The sequence below is a fragment of the Homo sapiens genome, chromosome 7, assembly GCF_000001405.40.
Source record: "Homo sapiens chromosome 7, GRCh38.p14 Primary Assembly".
NCBI classification, from domain to species: Eukaryota; Metazoa; Chordata; class Mammalia; order Primates; family Hominidae; genus Homo; species Homo sapiens.
In genome coordinates, this window is record NC_000007.14 from 148,693,691 (window position 1) to 148,714,940 (window position 21,250).

General features: G+C 43.0%; 1 protein-coding gene across 6 annotated transcripts in view, besides 6 other annotated features; it reads left to right on the top strand.

Annotated features, from left to right (window-relative positions):
* CUL1 (cullin 1) overlaps nt 4,066–21,250 on the top strand; it is a 103,355-nt gene continuing 86,170 nt past the window's right edge. The window contains exon 1 of one of the 6 annotated variants that reach the window (NM_001370660.1): nt 4,066–4,569. The gene's annotated coding sequence lies outside the window, so the exon portion shown is untranslated. Of the gene's footprint in view, nt 4,570–4,672; nt 4,851–4,954; nt 5,074–5,212; nt 5,340–6,019; nt 6,441–21,250 lie in introns of those variants that run through there. The other 5 variants (NM_001370661.1, NM_001370662.1, NM_001370663.1 and 2 more) reach the window with 5 other exon arrangements.
* Nucleotides 4,068–4,127: a silencer, noted in NCBI's record as "silent region_18733". NCBI's record gives its function as "represses an Ori minimal core promoter by ATAC-STARR-seq in GM12878 lymphoblastoid cells {active_cell/tissue: GM12878}" and the evidence as "EXISTENCE:reporter gene assay evidence [ECO:0000049][PMID:35858748]".
* Nucleotides 4,398–4,447: an enhancer, noted in NCBI's record as "active region_26800". NCBI's record gives its function as "activates an Ori minimal core promoter by ATAC-STARR-seq in GM12878 lymphoblastoid cells {active_cell/tissue: GM12878}" and the evidence as "EXISTENCE:reporter gene assay evidence [ECO:0000049][PMID:35858748]".
* Nucleotides 4,788–5,817: a silencer, noted in NCBI's record as "silent region_18734". NCBI's record gives its function as "represses an Ori minimal core promoter by ATAC-STARR-seq in GM12878 lymphoblastoid cells {active_cell/tissue: GM12878}" and the evidence as "EXISTENCE:reporter gene assay evidence [ECO:0000049][PMID:35858748]".
* Nucleotides 4,788–6,240: a biological region, named in NCBI's record as "H3K27ac hESC enhancer GRCh37_chr7:148396297-148397022".
* Nucleotides 5,515–6,240: an enhancer, noted in NCBI's record as "H3K27ac hESC enhancer chr7:148396297-148397022 (GRCh37/hg19 assembly coordinates)". NCBI's record gives its function as "activates a minimal SCP1, AML or CMV promoter by ChIP-STARR-seq in primed H9 embryonic stem cells {active_cell/tissue: H9 hESC(primed)}" and the evidence as "EXISTENCE:reporter gene assay evidence [ECO:0000049][PMID:30033119]".
* Nucleotides 6,118–6,217: a silencer, noted in NCBI's record as "silent region_18735". NCBI's record gives its function as "represses an Ori minimal core promoter by ATAC-STARR-seq in GM12878 lymphoblastoid cells {active_cell/tissue: GM12878}" and the evidence as "EXISTENCE:reporter gene assay evidence [ECO:0000049][PMID:35858748]".

Here is a 21,250-nt window from a genome sequence, read left to right on the forward strand (position 1 = left end):
TACTGATCTGCGTTAAAAGGAAGGCGACGTGGCCACATGAAGTATGGTAATCCCAGCACGTTGGGAGGTCGAAGCAGGAGGATTGCTTCAGCCCAGGAGTTCAAGATCAGCCTGGGCAACATAGCAAGATCCCATTGCTATAAAAAAGTAAAAAAATTAGCTGGGGATGGTGACAGGTGCTACTCGGGAGGCTGAGATGGGAGGATTGTTTGCGTCCAGGAGGTCAAGGCTGCAGTGAGCTGTGATCATGTCACTGCATTCCAGCCTGGGCAACAGAGTGAAACCCATCTCAAAAAAAAAAAAAAGCAACCTGATTGAACTAGTTAATGCCAATGTGTGAACAACTATCAAGCACTCCTACCTCCTAGAGCCATTTGCATCTTTAAGAAATGATACTTAAGAATCTTTGGTGGAATTCCAGGCAATAAAAACAAGGCCTTTGTGTATTTGTTTACATAGGCAACTTATAAGTCAAGAGTCGAGAGGATGAGGTCTACCAATACTATGTTTCCCCTTCAGACAGTTTGTGACTTTGGTAAGTGTATTTCTGCATCATACTTTACATCTAGTTACCTCTATTATTACAATCTTGTTTATTTGGCATTTGATGGACCAAAATTAGCTACAAAATCCTTTTTAATGAAACCAAAGTAGGGGATTAGGCCGGGTTACAGTAATGCCTGTAATCCCAGCACTTTGGGAGGCTGAGGTGGGAGGATCACCTGAGTCCAAAAAGTTGAGGCTGCAGTGAGCCATGATCATGCCACTGCACTCCAGCCTGAGCAACAAAGTGAGATCCTGTCTCAAAAAAAAAAAGGACAGAAGGTAAGAAAGAAATTAAACTAGGGGACTTAAACACCTACTTCTTCAAAAAGAATTTAAAAATCTAGGTATAAGAAATCGTTCGATTATTTCATCTCTTTCCAGCTTCCTTTGGATACTAATCTAGTTGAATTACTCTGTATAGTTAGTTACAGCATATACGTAACTACGTTTATAAGCAGAACTATTTTTTTTAAAAAAATCACAAGTAATGTATATTTCATGATTTGGATTAAATAAACAAGTTTAATTGAAAAATTATCATTGTCATAGGTAATATTTATTAAGGATTTAACTTACAACAACCTTATATGAGATACTATTATTATTAATTTTTTGAGGCAGAGTCTCACTCTGTCACCCTAGGCTGGAGTGCAGTGGCGCAATCTCCACTTACTGCAACCTCTGTCTCCTGGGTCCAAACGATTCTCTTGCCTCAGCCTCCTGAGTAGCTGGGATTACAGGTGCATGCCACCACACCCGGCTAATTTTTGTATTCTTAGTAGAGACAGGGTTTCACCTTGTTGGCCAGGCTGGTCACCTCAAGTGATCCACCTGCCTTGGCCTCCCAAAGTGCTGGGATTACAGGCATGAGCCACCATGCCCGGCCAAGCTACTATTATTATCATCCCTATGTCATAGACGAAGAAACTGAGGCACAGAGAGGTTAAGTAACTTGCTCAAAGTTCCCCAGATAATAAGCAACGATGCCAGGATATAAACTCTGGCAGTTTCATGTTCCCTCCCGGCTGCTTCCCACCTACTTTTGATTCAGTAGATCTGGAACAGGGCCCTCGGAATTAGTAAAGTCCCCAGCTGATTCTGAAGCAAAGCCAGGTTTGAGAACCATCCTGCTAATTCACTTTGCGCTGGATGGCTAGTTACTTACCTGTGTCTTAGAAATAACAGTTCATATGGTTAATCAAGTAACACCTGTACCCTTTCATTTCAGTAGTAAGCAAATTTGCTTGGAATCTGCTTCAGTGTTCTTTGGGCACAGTGCTGAGGGGGCAGGTGAACCTTAGGAAATTGTCTCTCACCCCACAGCACAGACCACCTAGTTTAAAGGCACATGTGAACAGGCAATCAGGGAGAGATCACAAAGCTTGGGTAGAAGGTGTAAGGTGGGCTTCCTGGGAGGGGGTGTGAGCTGGATCTTGAAAAGTGAGCATGATTTGGAGATGGAGGAAAGAAGTGGGAAATGGTATCTGTTAAGGGAACAACTGAAGGAGGCCCTCATAAATGGCGACTCACAGCTCATCTGTGGGCCAGTGAGTACAACCAACAGGACCGGATGGCATTGAGAGTTCCTTCTGGGAAGTGGCAGGAAATAAATTTGGAAATGCAAGTTTGGACAAGATCTGGTAAACCTTAAGTGCCAGGTCCAAATTTGGATTGAACACTATAAACAATATGGAACCACTGAAGCTTGAAAGGACAAAATTATAATGATGAAGGTATCAGTTTAGAAGGAATAATCTGCCATCAGTCAGGACACAAGTGGAAGGATAAAGAGATAAGAACCAGGAAAAGCATTTAGAAGGCTAAAGGACCAACATAAGTGTGGGAGAATATCTTAGTAAAGGAGTGGATATACACAGAATCATGAGTCACTGGGTCAGGTTATGCCACTGATCAGGCTGAGTGATTTGGAGCAAATTGCCTAACATCTCTGAGCCTTAGGTTTTTTCATTGAAAAAATGGGTATGATGATGATAATGACTGACCCAAAAGAGGCAAACGATTTCTCTACGATGGTGACAGCTCTGGGATACAAGGTGAACGGGCCAGGATTTTGAGTCTGTTTCCAGGTCTGTATGAATTAAAGAATGTGTTATGAATGGCAACAGAGACAACCACTTTGTGGACGATGAGGAAGGGAGGGGAACTAATGGTTGGTGAATGTTCCACGAATTACGTGGGAATTATAAATAAATTACTCTTCACACTCTTATGAAGTAGGTATTTTTATCTCAAATTAACAGTTGACCTTACTAGAGCAAAAGATAGTAATTTGAGTTACTGGATATGACTCAAATTTGGGTAACTAGATACAAACCAAGGTCTAAAATCTAAAACTTGGGCTTTTCCAGCTAGTACATCATATTTAGATTTGAAAGTTATATTTTATTTCATTGCTTTTGGCCTAATGTTGTAGCCTGTTGAGACTGTTTTGAACTTTGATTCTGACATCTATCAAATTAATTATCCCTCCAAACTTTGGGTCATCCGAGAGAGACATCAATTTTGCTGAGTTGGGGGGTAAAGATGGAGGAAGGATGTTTTAAAGTAGAAAGAGAGCAGCAGGTGGCCTTGACTTGTGAGGTAGGCGGCAAGGTTATCTGCGCAAAGTAAATGCAATCTGGATGTTAAGTGGACGTAAAAGTCGATGGAATAAATTTGCTGCTAAGAATGATCGTGTAGGCAGGTGGAGAGTAAAGAATAGAAAGGAGTTAAGAACCAGGAATGGAGGCAGTGAGAAGAGAGAGGGTGGTGTGGGTGGACCAAATACTGCTATTAAGGAAAAAGAGAGGGTGGAGGAAACAAACAATACAGGGAAGGTTGACCCACTCAGCCCTTCTATTCAGCTGGAGGAAGTCACAGAAAAGGAGGCTATATTGAATGGTAAGATTGGAGAAGACTGGTTAGGGAATAGGAAGATAAGCTGTTGTCTAAAAAACGCAGTCTCCAGTAAAAGGAAGAAATTGGGACATTTTTTTAAAACCCCACATAGGTACACTGGAAAACATGGGCCACAGGGATAAACCTTCCATTTTTACTTCCAACCTTACCATGTGCTCACAAAAAAAGGTGTTAAATACATGTAAGTTTTGACGAGGTTATTTAAAAGTGTAGGATATAAACCAAGAATTTTTCACACCCCAAAACCCCGCACAAATTAAGGGATTACATATCTGAGTGACAAGTACATACAAACGCATTACTTCTAGAGATACTTAGATGTAGATAAAAGACCACATTTCAATAGAAGGATCACACAGACCAGTGGGATGTTTCTTCTGAGATAACCCACTTTATGCAGGAAACAGTGTGGACTCTGGGGACGGCCTCTGCTCTGGCTGAGGATTTCTGTCCCAGAGCGGTACAGGAATCTGCGTAGTGTTTTAGTTTGGAGAAAACAGGAAGTTACACTCATCACATCTTTTGCCCAGATGATAGAATTCGAAATCCCCCCGGGGTTGTTCATGGAATGAGCCGCTCTGTTATGTTGTGAGCCGTGGTATTAATCAGCCACCCCTCACTAGGTGTTGGGGTTCCACCACGCTTCCTCCACCCCCCGTCACCACAGCAGCGGGTAGTATTTAGGTTGAATATTCCAAATAGTCAATTATGACAGTTAATTTCAAATGAGATGACTTCGAAGTACACGTGAAAACAATACTATTTTATATCACGACTCATGCCATCCGTATGTGTAATCAAAGCCTTCTAAGTCTTGATATGTCCTTACAAAGACGAAGGATAGAGTGAATGTCAAAATTTGCCAAACAGGAGTTACTGAAAGTCTGAAGGGGAAAGCCTAGTTAGGTTTTATCTTAGAAGTGATTTTTAAAACGAAACACGCAGATAAGCTCGAGCTTTCTGGAGCCGATTCCTAAGGCCTTGCAGGTGGTAAGGGGGTCGAGAATTGGCTGAGGTTCCTCGGAAGTCCGCGCCGATTCGGAGGGCCACCTCTGACTTTCTGATCTGGGGTGCAACCCCCAGTCCCTGTCCCGGTCGACAAAGGTGTGGAGTCAGGTTCCAGGCAAGCTGGGGGTGGGGGTGCGCACAAGGGAGGGGCAGGGGACTGGGACCCCCTCTTCTTCGGGGTGCTTCGGGCCGTTTCTCCAGAGGCTGGTGGTGTCCCCGACCCAAGCAGCTCAGCCCCGCTCGCGAGGTCCGAAGTGGCGGGAACGGGTCCTCCGCGGCGGTCCCAAGGCGAGGGAGGCTGTAAAACCTGGCAGAGAATCCGGCGCGCCGGGTCGGGGATGTCTCGGGTGCCGGGGGCAGGGGCCGCAGGCTCGCAGGTAGAAGCTTCCCCACGCGAGCGGGGGCCTCGGCCGCGGAAGGGGCGCCCCCGGGGCCGCCGGCAGCGGCGAGCGGGCGGGAGGGAGCTTTCCGGGCCCCTCCCGCGCCTCGGGCTGGCGGGGCGATGGCGACGACGGTTTCCCGGCTCCCCCGCCCCGGACGCCGATGGCGGTGCGTTCCGGCCCTCCCCCAACAGCTTCTCCCCCGCGGTCGCCGGAGCCGGTGAGGCCGAGAGGGCGGGGAGCCGCGCAGGGAAGGCGAGAGGGCGGAGGTTGCGTGGTGCAGGCGGCGGCGGCGGGAGGAGGAGGGCCGGGCGGGCAGGGGAGGAGGAGGAGGCGGGCGCCGTGTCGCACGCAGCTCCAGGCGGGGCAGCCCCGGTAGCTGAGGGACGCAGCTAGACCTTGGCGGGACGGGGCTTTCGCCGGGGCCCAGGCCCAGGGACCAGGCGGAGGCGTCGCGGGAGCCTTTGGGGCACCACAGAGATGCGGGTGAGTGTCGGCAGCCGCCGGGGCCGAGAGGAGGTGGCGGCGGCGGCGGCGGCGCAGGCCCGGCCCCGAGCCGCGGTGTCGCAGTGACTCGGGCCGCGACGGCCGAAACCAGGCGCCTGGCGAGGCCTGAGCCGCCGAAACGCGGCCGGGCAGAATGGCGGCCGGGCCGGGGGACTCGTGGGCGGAGGACGCCGAAGGTGGCAGAGGAGCGAGCGGGGCCGGGCCCTGAGTCACCCCGGACGGGCCGGGGCGGCCAGGCCTGGACTACGCACTGGGAAAAAGCACGATTCATCGCGCCTGGAGGCGGCGGCCTGGTGGCGCCGGCCCCTTTCCCCGCCGCGACCGGGCTGGGTTCTCGGAGGGTGGGCCGACGTGTGGCCCGGGGCGGCTCGGGCGTCCGCGCCTCGCCTGGTGAGGCGACCTCCGCGGGACGCCGGGACCCGTGCCCTTGCCCCCTCGCGCCCACGCTTCTTCCCGGCGCTGCTTTCCGGCCGACGCGTGTTCCCCTGTGAGCTCTGGGCTCAAGCGCAGGAGCAGCCGCGGAGCCGGGCTCTCTCGCTTTCCGGTTCCCTGCCCGCGGCTCTCGGGTTCCCCGCCTGCATTGTTGCGAACGTGCAGGGCGCTATTATTGGGTAACAGTCGCCCTTTTGCCCCGTTCTCCTGGGAGAGCGGGCCGGGGCATGCGCGCAGGGATGCTAGCCCGGCGGCCGAACCGGACAGAGCCCCCCGGCGCCCGCCTATCGCTCGCTAGTCGGGCCGGGCCCTGCGCTGCGGCCTCGGCGCGCCCCCGGTCCCAACGGGAGCGCGCGCCCTGACCCTGAGGGTAGCCGTGCGCCCGCCAGGCCGCTGGGACTTGGGGTCCCCAGACTCGGGGGTCGTCGCTTTTTTTTCCCTTAAGATCTGAAAGACCCCCGTTTCTGCCACCCGTGCAGTATTGTGTAGCGCAGACATAAGATAAGAAAGAGAGGAATGCTTGTAGACATTCCTTGAAATGAATCCCCAAAGTTAGGGTTTTCTCCCTGGCTGGCTTTGCCAAAAAGAGGATTCTCTTTTCCGATTGGGTCACTCTTGGTTGCTTCTGGTTCGTAGTAGGGGTTAGTGGTAAGTGCGCAAATACTGAATTGCAGTCTACTTAAATATTTGTTTGCTCTGTGTAATTGCTCTTTCCTGTAGTAGCATTAAAATCGTCAAAAGTTCTGAGTGGAGTAAACGATCACACTTTTTGGAATGCACTTAACGAAGCGGCAGAAGAGGAACTAGATTCCTTTTTTACTTCAAGCCATGAGCTTCTAGGACCTAAGCATAGCTTAACGCCTCGCAGAAGTGTGTGCAGTTTTAAGTTTAACACTTCATTTCATGGTGCACCCGAAAATGTACCCGATTTTCTGAAATCCTGGAGAGTGTATTACGTAGTAAAATATGTAATGATGTTTAAAATGTAAAACCAGTCATTCTGTTTGAAAAAGATATTTGGAGATGAGATTTTTCTTTGTTTAAAGAAGGTTTGTTTTTGGATATTGAAAAATGTTTTACTTGAAGGTTCTATTTGTTGTTTTCCATGGTGAGTCGAAATAGTTGCGTTACATTTCAAATTCCAAAGCATGCAAACACAAGACTGGCTCGCTTTAACTCTATTAATGCCCATTTTTGGAGGTTTCAGGAGAGTGTTCCTTAAGCTTGAGAGGGATGGCTGAATTGCTTTCTAAATATGTTAAACTTTTTTTCTCATTGGCTTCATCTTTTAAAAACGATTTTGTCAAAAAACAAACCAAATTTAGATATGCTAGGGTTTTTCACCAATTTATAAAAGCCTCCCTCCCTGAGAGCCACATGCTCAGGTCCTTATAGCCAGCCCCACCCCCCACTCCTAATGTGTGTACCACATCAGAAGACAGACACGCATGCCTGAGCTGATTCTGCATGGTTTCCTTAGATATTACAGTTCATTAGACTCTTGCCACTTACTGAATATTATCTTCTAGCTGTAATTAACTACATGACAGCCTTATTTCCCATACATTTCCGATTGTGAATTCCTCCAGCGCAGGAGATATTCCTTATTTGTTTTTGCGTCCCCAGAGTAACAGAACTTGGTTGTGGTGGTGCCTCAGTTGCTTTTTTTTAATGAATGAGTTTTCTGGAATAATTCTAACTTAAACTTAACGTTTGAAAACATGCGCTGATTTTTGGCTACAGAAAACACAGTCGTTGTGCTTAAGCCGGTTAAGAATTCAAGCTTTATTATACACTTCTCGAGTAAAATTGATCGTCTCTCTCATCCCTCCTTTTCTATTCCCCCTTCCCTCTTCACTTCCCTTCTCCCTGAAACACCCCAGTATCTAGTACAGGGCCCTAACAGAAAAATGCCCAGGTTTTCTATACCTATGGAAGTCTGGGAAAGTGCCAAGAAAACAGGTTGTGAAACTTTAACTTTTTTCCCCCTTAAAACTAGTTTTAAGGTGTGGATGTTTTTACTTTTTGTGTTTGGTGTTTTTTTGGAAACACGATCAGGTTTTTCCCCCCAGGTTGAGTATCCAGCCTTGCCTTTGCAATGAAGCAGTTTGGTAGTTAAGGCTCCTCCTTGTAGATGAGGCAAGCCCCATGGTTCTGCTGGAGTGGGATAGGAAGTTGCTGTAGGAGGAACCATCCCTTGGTCTCTGAGGGCCATTCATCAGAATGTCATTCCCAGTATACCCAGTGGTGTCTGTCTTTCAGCATGGAAAATTAAAATGAATGTACTTTAAATTGAGGAGTTGTTACTTGCCATTCTTCAAATTAAAAATATTAGGGCCTTAAAAACTTAGGAACTTGGTTTTTTGTTTGTTTTGCTGTTTCAGCCTTCCGTAGGTCCTAAAGCCAGTGACCTTGAGTCATTCTGGAATAAAATGTCTTTGGGGGACTGTCAGCTTCATTTTGAACTTGTCTTTTAGGTATGTCTGGAGAAAAGAGTGTTAACCATTTTAAGGGCCAATTCTAAGGTTGCCTTGCTTTTTAAAAACATTTGGTAGTTTATCAGTGTGTTTGTTTTGCTTCCAAATGAAGAAATGAGCATTAAATGAAAAATAGATCCTATTTGGATAAAAGCCTTATGTTTACTACTGAGGACATAATTTCCTGTTTATAGGAGGTTTCCTGTTTATAATATGAAGATTTAGTAAACACACTATAAACAGAATTATTATAACATTTAATGACTTAAGTTTTTTATTCACTCATGGAGGTGTTTCATTTCTAAAAATTCCGTGAGGGAGAGAGATTGAAGTCATTTATTTTTGCTTAGGTATAGAACATCTTGCTTGGGAGAGAAGACATGGAGTCTAGTTCAAGCTTACCTTTGCAGGGCATATATTTCCTCGTTTTTAAAATGAGATGGTTTTTAATTGACACTGTTGATTTCCTTAGGCCCCGAAAGTATGTGGATTCCATGGGAATGCCACAGCTTTTAACATTAACAGGATTTTGGAAAAACGGTCTTAAAGAACATTAAGTATTGTATTCATGTTTAAAAAGCAGGGTTGTGAAGCCTAAGTTTGATAGTTAAATTTTTTCCCTTGGGAAACTTGGACCAAGTAAGCACTGGTCTGCCTTTCCTAGTGTTGACTCCATGCTTCAGCGCTATTGCAGTTCCATTCTGGATCTGACTCTTTGCCTTTTCTATCACCTGACGGCTCACACATCACCATCTCTGGAAAGCTGGCCCTGATGTCCTGGTCTGGGTTAGGAGCCTTCTCTGGGTTCCCATGTTGTCCTGCCTATGTCACTATCACAGTATTTAACCTTTTGATTGTAGTTGGTGGTTTCTCCCACCAAACTGACCTCCTTTGGGACAGGGACACTGTGATATGCATCTGTCCCCAGTGCCTAGCATACTGCATGCATCAACATTCACATACATCCTTCCACTGGAAATCTTTACAGTGCCCTCTGAAGTGTGGGTACTATGGTTTAACCCACTTTACAGAATATAGGTGAAGGAGCTGAGACTTTGAGTGGTGCAGGTAAGGGCTAGGAAGGTAGTCAAGCCCGAGTTAAACGGGACAGGATAACTCCGGAGCTCAGGCTTTTAACCAGATGTTCCCTGAGTGTTTGACTAGTTTATGTGAAGATGGAAGAAGACTAGAAGAGATTAAAATGAAAATGCTTTAAGGACTGATATCTGATCATTATGGCAGAATTCATTATGCAGAACTGTGATCCACTACCAAGAATGAGCTTATTCTTCCTGGTCTTTTAGTAACATTGTGGGAGAGTAATTGGGCACTGATAGCATAGACACGAACAGTTCTGGAACTTTGGGGCTATTGTTAAATTGGGTGTGATGTTATGACTCATTGGCCTTGCAAAAATTTATAAAACCATTCAAGACTGTTCAAATATAACAAGCTGCAATTTTTTTAAAGGTCTGTGTTAGAAAATACTTCGGAAAATAGATTGTATGAAATGGGTGCAGCCATTTAAAATATGTATAAAGTGTGTATGTACTAGTGAAGGTTTTTTTGTTTTTTGTTTTTTGTTTTTTTTGAGACAGAGTCTCACTCTGTCGCCCCCACTGGAGTGCAGTGGCGTGATCTCGGCTCACTGCAACCTCCGCCTCCTGGGTTCAAGCGCTTCTCCTGCCTCAGCCTCCCGAGTAGCTGGGATTACGGTGCCTGCCACTACACCCAGCTAATTTTTTGTATTTTTAGTAGGGACGGGGTTTCACCATGTTGGCCAGGCTGGTCTCAAACTCCTGACCTCGTGATTCACCTGCCTTAGCCTGCCAAAGTGCTGGGATTACAGGCGTGAGCCACTGCGCCCGGCCGTGAGGATATTTAAAGTAGTAAAAATGGCTGTCATTTTAGGGGGGTAAGCTTGGGTGCTTTTAAAATATTTTTTCAAGAAAAAATTTAAGAACCAAAAAGTAACAGCATGGCGATCTCAAGATGGAGAAGACCTAGATATAACACCAAGCACGGGAACTGTAAAGGAAAAGATTTGAGTACTTTAGAATAATAAAACTTCTCTGTGTTAAAATTCCATAAACAGAATTAAAAGGTGACTGGCAAACAGAAAAATATTGTAACTTACAAGCAAATTTACTTTCCTTACTGTAAAAAGAGGGCATGTGAACACCACCAACAAAAGCGGCCCCCCCCCACCCCCGTGGAAAAAAATGGGCAAACTGGTAATTTATAAAAAGAGGAGCAGGAAACATGAAAAAACTTTCAGCTTTACTAGCAGTACTCCCAGAAATGCAAATCAGTGAGATACTGTTGTTGTTTTTTTAATTGGCGTAGATTAAAAAATGAACTACTTATGGTGAAGGTATGGAGAAATGAGCTCACTCATACCTTGCTAGAAAGAGTGTAATTTAATATGATTTTTTGAGAGCAAAGTACGTAACAAAAGCTTGTAAAATATGTATGTGCTTTGAAATAGCTATTCCATTTCTAAGAATTTAGTCTAAGAAAATACAAAAAAAATGACTACTAGATTAATATTCTGTCCAGGGTGTGCTGTTATTTAACTAATACCCTCTTAAGCATTTGTTTTCGTTTTTTTGCTGTTGTTAAGGATGATTATTTCAGCATTTAGATCAATCTTTAACTTCCATAATACTGTATTTAATGAACATTTAGTTAGTATTAATGATAAAATGCAACATAAAACAACATATGTAAGTAATAGCTAAACTTTATTTTGGTGTGTGAGTATATGCATTTTTTAAAAAGATGAAAACCAGAATGTTAGCATTGATTGTCTCTGAGCAGTGGAGTTATTTTTAGTTTCTCTTAGCAGTAGGTTATTATTTTTTTTTTCCTCCAACTTTCTACAGTGCACATATATTTATAGTACAGTGGATTAATTTATAAAATCAAGAAATCCCAAAACAGGAGAAGCAGGGGAGCTACTTGCAAGGAAGACATTTCTGCTTAGTTTAATGCTGAAATCACTTAGTGTTTGCCGTACTGGCAGCCCCTTTCCAGGTGTGTTGATGCACAGGGTTAAATATCTGACTTCCGTTGGGCTGTATTTCCAGCGGTCAGGTTCTCCTTTGCTGGACTAATCTTCTTCTCATTTATTTCCCCATATCTTAATCCTTCAGATACTTTAGTCCCCTCATTTAATGCCCTCCATGAAACTGTCCTAATCTCATGAAACTGATTGATGTTTTGATGGTTTATTGTAACACTAGATTAGGTACTAATGAATTGTCTTCAGTGTGGAAGTTTCTTTTTTTTAGTAATAGTGTGAACTTTTTTTGCTTAGTTCACAACTCCTAGTGATAGTAGATGTGTTTTAAATTAATCTTTAAACTTAATGTCATTATGCTTAAGATAAGAATTTGCTAAAAATTAGAAAAAGTATTTTGGTCTAGTTTCTGCAGTAGCTTGGAAAATTCAGAGGCTACCATCAATTATTTAAGAAGTGTATGCTAAATAGTACAAATGAGGAATACTGTTGTAATTATGAGAAAACCGTTGCACAGAAACGTGTCACCTAATGCTGGGAGGGGGCACCTTTGCTATGTCGAAATTAATTAAATGCTAACTAAAATAGTTACGTGTGCCTAATAGGCATCCGAAAGTCAGAACGGGGGAAAAAGGCTGACAGCTCAGACCTCCTTTTCTCAAGGCAGGAAGGAGGCTTTGGTGAGACTGGAAGGAAAGGTTTGGAATCCTAGATGATGTCAATAAACCAGACTCTTTGATCCCAAGTGGAATTCAGGGAATAGACATGAAGACTAGGCCATTTCCCCCTCCCCAAACTTCAAGCTTATCTATAGGAACTTGGAGACTTTGGTGTGGGGGATGGTGGAGAAGAAAAATTCCAGACTGATTCTTCTGACTTCTCTCATTTTAAATACGTAAAATCTTTAAAACGTTTGCTTGCCATTTTATCTTACATGCAATAATAACCCTTAGTCTAGGTTGAGCATCCCTAATTTGAAAATCCTAAATCCTCCAGAATCTAAAACTTCCTTAGTTACCAACACGATGTGACAAGTGGATCATTTCACCCCGACCTCATGTGATGGGCCACGGTCAACATGCAGGTGCACAACAGTTTATTCAGTGTCCCCAAGGGGAAAGTAAAATTACCTTCAGGCTGTGTGTATAAGGTCTATATGAAACATGTGAATTCCCCGTTTAGATTTGGATCCCATCCGCAAGATACCTCAAATATTCCAAAATATGAAACAGTCTGAAATTCAAAAGACTTCTGGACCCAAGCATTTCAGATAAAGGATACTCAATTTGTGTTCAGTGCTTGGTATGAGCCAAAGACTGTGCCGAGCTTGCTTTGTGACTCCCTAGCTGCTTGCCCTCAGCTTTCTGCTGCTTGGAGATACCTCAAATGGGACAGAAGGCTGTCTAATGCAGTCCTGGTTGAGGATGGACTTTGACACACAGCATGGGAATATATTACATCAATCATAAAGTAGAGACTACTGAAATGAGAGGGTCTCCTATTTGATGTGTTGATGAAAGGCTACTTGGGCATCTGTGTAGAGTAGGTCCTACCAACAAGGGACTCAAAACACACAAAGGGAAGAAGGGTTAGGAATGCTGAAGACACATACTGAAATTGGCTCTTCAGTAGTGCCTTTGTTACATGTTCTATATATAGGGGACTTTGCCCTATACAGGGTATGTGTGTTGGGGGTGGGGGCGGCGGGGGGCGGGGTGGGTGTTTAATGTCTGCAGTTTAGCTGGGGCTTTACAGGTGAAACGTACTGTATGTGTTCTCTCGACATTATGAAGATTTTGTTTGTTTTGGTCACTGGTATTTTTATAATGGAGCTCTGCCTTACTACTCTACTTGTTTTACTGCATTTTCAGGATTTTTATTTAGGCCAATATTTGGCTGTCTGTGTTCTGTGATATGTAAGGTATGGGAATAGGAGGGAAGATCTGTGAATAAACGTAGGAAATGCCAGGTGGCATATTGAAGGGCCTTTAAAATCTTAATTTGTTTTGCTGCTGTTACAGGGAGATATATCTTATAGGGTATGTATATATGTATACATACCTACATTCATATATATTAAAAGGTCCACTCCTAATTTAATAAGAAATTACCTTTGAAGGAAGAAAACTCCCCTACCATATTAACATGTTTTGTAGAACACATACTGATTTTAAAATCATCGAATGTGGAAAATTAGGTCTTTACAGTAGAGATTTGATATGGAGTGAATTGATGTGTTCATTTTTTTCTCTTGGAACGAGCACCTGGAAATATTCGTGGTTCTTTGTAGCACAGTGTGGGAAGTGCCATAGAGGCCAGGATCCTAATGAGTATGGTTATAAGTTTAGTGTCTAGAAATAATTTTTGCTTCACCCTAGTCCTTGTTTAAATCCTAAATACTATCAGAGGAATTATATTAAAAAAATTTTAAAGCATATGGGAGACAACACAATCAAAGCCTGTGTCATTTACATGTTATTGGTGGTGTCATGTTGAGATCACTTTTTATTTTTTTAAATAATAATTTTTTTTTTAAGTTTCAGGGTACCACAGGTTCGTTACATAGGTAAACGTGTGCCATGGTGGTTTGCTGCACCGATCAACCCATCACCTAGGTATTAAGCCCTGCATACATTAGCTGTTTTCCCTGGTGTTGGTCCCCACACCTTCCCTGACAGGCCCCAGTGAGTGTTGTGCCCTTCCCGGTGTCCATGGAGAACACTTTTTAAACCTGTAAAATAATGGTTTAACTACAAAGTTGTTTCACATTTTTTCTTTAAAAATCTAAAACTTCCTGGGTTTTAAAAGCATCTCAATACTTCTCTTGAAGGCACTCTTAGATTTGTACTTGATTCATTAGATTGGTTCTCTTGCATTTCCAATTCATGGTTTCCAGAGGGTGAACGCTGTTCTCAGGATGTCTTGCGTTAGAGGAGTTTAGGAAGCATCACCAGGTCTGTTCTCCAGTGTCCCCTTCTGAGTAGGGGCCACATCGCTCATTTCCCAGACTTGTGGACCAGGTTACCTTTCTTTTTTCTTGGGTGACCTCCTGAGGTTAGGGTTCTGTGCAGAATACTTGCTGTTCCAGTTCATCTTATCTTTTCTAACTCTTCATGAGCATTCAGGAGATAGCTTTAACTTGATCCTCTCTTCTAGTCTTTTTTGCTTTGTGGTTTCTCAGTTTTTTCAGGTTAAGCAATTCTCAGCAACTTCAGCTGAGAGCCTTGCAGTCCTGCTAATAGCCTTCAGGGCTTTTGCATTTGACTAACCTGGCCTTTCTTCCAACTTGGCTTGCCCCAAACTGATCTCTTTTTTGCTCCCTAGACCATATCCGACATCTCTATTTCTAGCGTTGTGTCAGAGACACAGATTTCAGACTTGACTTCTTTTGTTTGTCCATATTCAGTGATCTACCAAATCTTACTAGTTCCTCCCCCATAACACTATGTGTTTATACCTTCCTCTTTGGCCCCGCTGTCACCAGCTTCATTCTGCCCTCACGCCTGGCGATGCAGTGCGCTGCTGATTGCTGCTTCATTCAGGACTTGCCTGGCTTCCTTGATTACAGAGGCTCTCCAGGGCAGGTATTGGGCTGCTAGCATTTGATAGAGTGGGCTCTGCTCTTTGTCTTTGCAGCCCTTTGCCACAACCATCCTATCTCATCTTCATAAGCTTAAAAAAATCCTGAAAATCTAGCTGTGTGTATCATGCTAACATGCTTTTTAAAAAAACTGGCTCTGCTGCAATTTTCACTTGAAAGTAGCTGGATGTTGGTTCTGGGTATTTGTCTCTATCTCAGCTCTTCAAACTGGGAATGTGATTTCTAGTAACAACATTTAGCAAAATTTCAACAAAGCAACCAATTTGCGGAAGTTGTGTTAACTTTGAGGTTTTGCCATAATAAATTATAAATGTTGGAATTTTTCTATTGATAAGGCTAACTTGTGGAAAACTGATTAAATAATTCACTGATTATAACCAGCAAACCATATATTACACTAAAGTTTTGTTTCAAAAATATGGATATTGTGGAAGATGAGTATCCACATAGCTTTTTATGGTAAACATAGGTGAGCGTGTATGTGTAACTAGGATAGTGATTCCCTTAATAGTTATAGGAAAAGTGATTCTAAAAAGCATTCTGACGCCTCTCTTGGCGGCAGTGAATGAAACTACAGTTTCACATTAAAAAGAGTACTTTCCCCGCCAAAAATGCAGAGGAGGATTTGTTTTACTGACAATTGAGTACAGGCCAAACTGCGTATATGCGCATACATACTCTGGGCTTTGTGTGTGTGATTTGGCAAAAAGAAAAATAGTCCTAAAGTGTGCATCTCTTTATTCCATTGTATTTATATTTTTCAGAAGTTTATTTATTTGCAGTTTTGATGTGTACATTTTATTTTAGAAAATTGAATGAAGTTTGTGAGATTCAAGTCCTCTAAAGTAAGTTTATTATATATGAGTTCTTGACGATAACAAAACTATGGGGAAAAATCTGGATTTTGTGATGTTAGCATTAGTTCTTTACCTTGTTAAAAATATTAACTATGTTTTCAACTGGGAACATGCATTTATGTTTTTCAAAGTAAGCTACTTGAAGTATAAGCTTAAAAAGCTTGCTTGAGAAAATACACAAGTTAATGTAAATTGTATGAAATAAAAAATATGGACCGACTATTGTTGAGACTTTCCACATGAAACTTAGGCTGGGCAGTGAAGACTATGGTATTGTCCCAGCCACAGCTAGGGTGGTGACAGAAATCAGTAGCAATCTTAACATGCAGGATATTCTTTATGCCTGCTTAAGGTATGGGTTTTGCCAGGCGTGGTGGCTCACGTCTGTAATTTGAATACTTAGAAGGCCGAGGTGGCCGGATTGCTTGAGCTTACGAGTTCGAGACCAGCCTGGGCAACGTAGTGAAACCCCATCTGTACAAAAAATGAAAAGATTAGCCAGGTGTGGTGGCCCACACCTGTGGTCCCAGCTACTTGGGAGGCTGAGGTGGGGGGATCGCTTGAGCCCTAGAGGGAGGGAGATGTTGCAGTGAGCCGAGGTGGCACCATTTCACTCCAGCCTGAGTGACAGAGTGAAACCCTGTGTCAAAAATAAATAAGTAAAATATGGGTTTAAGTTATTGTTGATGCTTTTGTGTCTCTGCCCCTTAGCAATAACCTCCAAAACCCACCACTCTTAGGGTGACAAATAAATACAAATTGTACAGACCATGAGGGAAATTGACTAGAAAATTTTGTAACTACAAAGAAAGGTGCATCTTGACTAGGGGCATTACTATAAAAAATACCAGTGGGCCGGGCGCGGTACGCCTGTAATCCCAGCACTTTGGGAGGCCAAGGCGAGCGGATCACCTGAGGTCAGGAGTTCGAGACCAGCCTGACCAACATGTAGAAACCCCGTCTCTACTAAAAATACAAAATTAGCCAGGCATGGTGGTGCATGCCTGTAATCCCAGCTACTCAGGAGGCTGAGGCAGGAGAATCGCTTGAACCCGGGAGGCGGAGGTTGTGGCGAGCCGAGATCACGCCACTACATTCCAGCCTGGGCGGACAGAGCGAGACTCCGTCTCAGAAAAAATACGAGCAAATGTAAATGTCTAGAGGCTTACTGCTGTTTCGGAATCATAAGTGAAGCTGATGCTACAGGTTTTACCACATTTTCTCCTTTTTTTTTTTTGGTTGGGGTTTCGCTGTTGTCTCCTAGGCTGGAGTGCAATGGCACGATCTCAGCTCACTGCAACCCCCGCCTTCTGGTTGGTTTTCAAGCAATTCTCCTGCGTCAGCCTCCCAAGTAGCTAGGATTAAAGGCGCCCACCACCATGCCCGGCTAATTTTTTTTGTGTGTTTTTAGTAGGGACGGGTTTCACCATGTTGGTCAGGCTGGTCTCGAACTCCTGACCTCAGGTGATCTGCCCGCCTCGGCCTCCCAAAGTACTGAGATTACAGGCAGGAGCCATCGTGCCCAGCCCACATTTTCTCCTTTATTATAGGTATGGCCAGATTGTTTTGAGACAGAGTGGGAAGCAAAATTTAAAAAGTCCCCTTCCCAAAAGAACCCTGCTTCTTATTGAATGTTGTCATCGAGTTACAGATTTTTGTGAGCTCAGAAGACATACTCAAATCATTGAGAAACTGTTTTTCCAAATTATTTATTCTTGACTGATTTAAATGTACACTTCTGTGCATATATGTTTCTCCTCATACTCTCTCCCCAGTGTCCATAATTTCGGAAAATACTAAAAAGTTCTTAGTACTTGATGTTGTAATAGCTAGTAAGGAAATTTTCAGCAAGATGCTTTTTAGCAAATGCAGCATTGAACATATGTGCAGAGAATGGGGGTGCAAATCTGACAGGTGGAACCACAGGTGCGGTGGGTGACATCACTCACTGTGAGCCTTGAGTGGTTCAGGGACCACGGGGGACATGTGTCAGGAGCATCTTACCAGAAAGAGGTGTCGCTTAACTGTGCCCAGTTCCTTCAGGAGAGCGGTTAAAGTGGTAAATTGTCTTTAAAACAAAAAACATAAAAGCCCTAAATCAAATAAAGAGCACGGTAGCGCCGTTTCTCCTTTTGAACCAGTTTGTAGTGAAACGGGAAGTGTATTTGAAAGTTTGCTCAGCTAGGGAAAATTACTGATCAGAGTTTTCGACTCAGGGTTAAATTATCTTAGTCGAAAGAAAAATAATAGAAAGGGGTGTCTTATTGATGAATAGATTCATGTTCACTTAGTGATACACTAGCTTCCAAAATCTGCTTATTGAGCAGATACTTATTCAAGGCCCCACAATCAACTGCAGGGCAAACGGTTCACCACACATGAGGGAAATTTGGAAATTAGTTGAAGAGGATTGTGGGAACTGTGAATTGAGATTGTTCATCTAAATGGGAGTTAATAGCGTTTGTGGTTGACTAAGGGCATCCTTTACGGAAGTGGACCTCACGTGCACACCTCACTGGGAGAGGGAGAGACCTGCCAGGAGGTGCACATCTGGCCTTCCACGCTTAGTGGCCTGAGGATGTTTCCCTGGGGCACCACTTCCACAGGCCCTCTAAAAGGAGGGCAGAATGGCTTGCTGTTTGTATCTTTGTATTTGTGTTAAGCTGGGTTCTGAAAATACAGTGGTGCCAAGACAGAAGAGAAACTTTTTGGATGCTGATGTGCAGTGAAAGCTCTCCAGTAGCGGCTTTTCCAAAGTCAGTGGGTTTCATACAACAGCATCCCATTCATTCACTAGCAAGAGAGCTAGGAAGTCCTGTGGAGCTGGTGTTTTAAAGTATTCTGTTAAACATGTATTTCATGGTAGAATGAAAGATTCATGTGAATTTTAAGATAGAGTGATATTTCAAGGAAAATTTAACTCTGTCACAGCTTAGGCTGGATCCCCAGGTCTGTCCCGATACAAAGGATTCCTCCACCCTGTGCTGAAAGTTACATTTTGGTGGGAATTTTAGAGAAGTGCCACCTCTGGTGTCATCAGTTATCAAAGGTATTGTGGAGTTTTCAGGTAACGTTAATTTACTTCATTTTGACTTCAAAAATAAGCATGGGTGGTTTAACATTTAAATACTATCTTAGGAATTGCATAGATATTAGAAACCCTTTATAGTAGTGTTAACATGAATAGTAGCAAATGCTTACCGTGTGTCAAGGACTCTGCTAAGCATTTTATTTTCGTAACTCACTTATTCCTCATAGCCACCTTATACAACAGGTACTACAGTATTATCTCTAGTACAGATGATGAAATACAGGCGCAGAAGTTAAGGAATCTGACCAAGCTCACACTGCCAGTGACTTGTGGAGCCAGAACTGTGAAGTTCACAGACATCCCACGCATTTCCATATTAGCTGTTTGCAATTTGTCACTGTGTACTGTCAATCAGTGCCTCTTGAATTATTTCTTTAGTAAAATATTTTTTGTGGGATAACCCAGCACCCACACAGACATAACTGGGAAAAAAAAATGCACTGAGTAATACTTAACCTTGTTACATTCTATGAGCTCTTTTTCTTTATTTGATTTTTTAAAAAGTTCCAGTTCCCTTTTACTAAGTTGGTTTCATGATCTACACAATAATGAATTGCAGCCCTCAGTTTGAAAAGCATGTGTGGTGTAGATGATCATGATCAAATGTAATACCGTTTTTTCTTGCCCTAAAGTGAATGCAAGTACTTGGAAACAAAATACACGCAAGTACCAATCTAGACCATTGAGTAAGCATGATTTAATCTAGGTAATTGAGTAAAAGCATTGTGCTGAAACTGAGAACTGATACTCAGTCCTCAGCAGTTAAAACTAGTTTATTTGGACAAACTGGGCAGTCTTTATAACACCTGTTAAATATAATGTGATTGTGATTTTCTGTAAGTTTTCAGGTTTTCCGGAGCAATTTATACCAGTGACGCTTGTGGCATCTTACTTGGAAGTCATGTAGTAAAATAGGAAGAATATAGATGTTGACTTAATTAAGATTCATTTCTGAATTGAGCAATATTTAAGGCATTTAGTGCTTGTGTGTGGATTTTTTAGGATTTAAAAGGACCTTCCTCTATTACTTATTCAAGTATCAACTCTAAGAGAAAAAAAATTGTTTTCTAATTCCTAAGATGTTTATAGGAGAAAATTCTGTACTTCTGGGTAATGATATGTGAGAATTCTTGTAATTACAAAATGTGTGTATTTGAAGGAATGAATTAAATTAGCATGTGTGTGTATTTTATATTATATATATATTTTTTGAGATGGAGTCTCATTCTGTCGCCTAGGCTAGAGTGCAGTGGTGCAATCTCGGCTCACTGCAACCTCCACCTTCTGGGTTCAAGTGATTCTCCTGCTTCAGCCTCCCAAGTAGCTGTGACTACAGGTGTGTGCCACCACACCAGGCAAATTTTTGTATTTTTAGTAGAGATGGGGTTTCACCATGTTGGCCAGGTCTTGAACTCCTGACCTCAGGTGATCCACCTGCCTCGGCCTCCCAAAGTTCTGGGATTACAGGCGTGAGCCACCACGCCTGGCTGCATGTGTGTATATTTATATAATTAGAAGGACAAAGATTGATCACAACGAGAAGCCTGCTATATCCATTTAGTAAAACTTTGAGGCTCTACTAATTTATTCTTTATAGCAATTCTGAGAAGTCGGTATTTTGGTGTTTAATTCCCACTCCCAGCTTTATTAAGGTATAATTGACAAAACATAATAGCATGCAACCTGATGATTTGATATATGTACGCTGCACATCATGAAATGATTAAATCAAGTTAATTATATCCATCACCTCACATACTTAACATTTTTTTGTGGTAAGAACTTTTAAGATGTACTATAAGCAGTTTTTTCTCTTTTGTTTTGCTTTTAAGCAATTTTCAGTTTTCAAAATACAGTACATTATTATTAACTGGAGTCACCATGCTGGGTGCTGGATCTCCTGAGCTTATTCCTCCTATCTAACTGAGACTTCGCACCTTTGACCAGTATCTCCCCATCCCCCTCCTTGGTGCTTGATTTTTTAAGGAAAACTTAAAAATGAATGAACAGAATTAGAATTGGCCTTATAGAAAGAACCAATGTCCCTTCTAAGAGAATCTGAATAGCAGTGCTGGCTGGTTTGGAGTCTGTCTGTCTTCTCTGTAGTGATAGGTGTGGTATTTTCTCATTGCCATCTCGTGGTGATCTGAGTGGGTGTCATCTTGTTGAGGTTGCCAAAGGGACTCATTTTAGAGGGCAGTGGAAAGCATGAACACACCTGGGCAGAACATGGTCGTCTTTATACCAGACTTTGAATCCAGGGTTGCATACCTCCAGCTGAGAGACATGCACAGAAGTTCTGTTGTGAGACTTCTGCTGTAAGTAAGTATCATTGGTTGTACTTTGTTTTTTGTTTGTTTGTTTGTTTTGTGTGTGAGAGGGTCTTGCCCTGTCCCTCAGGATGGAATGT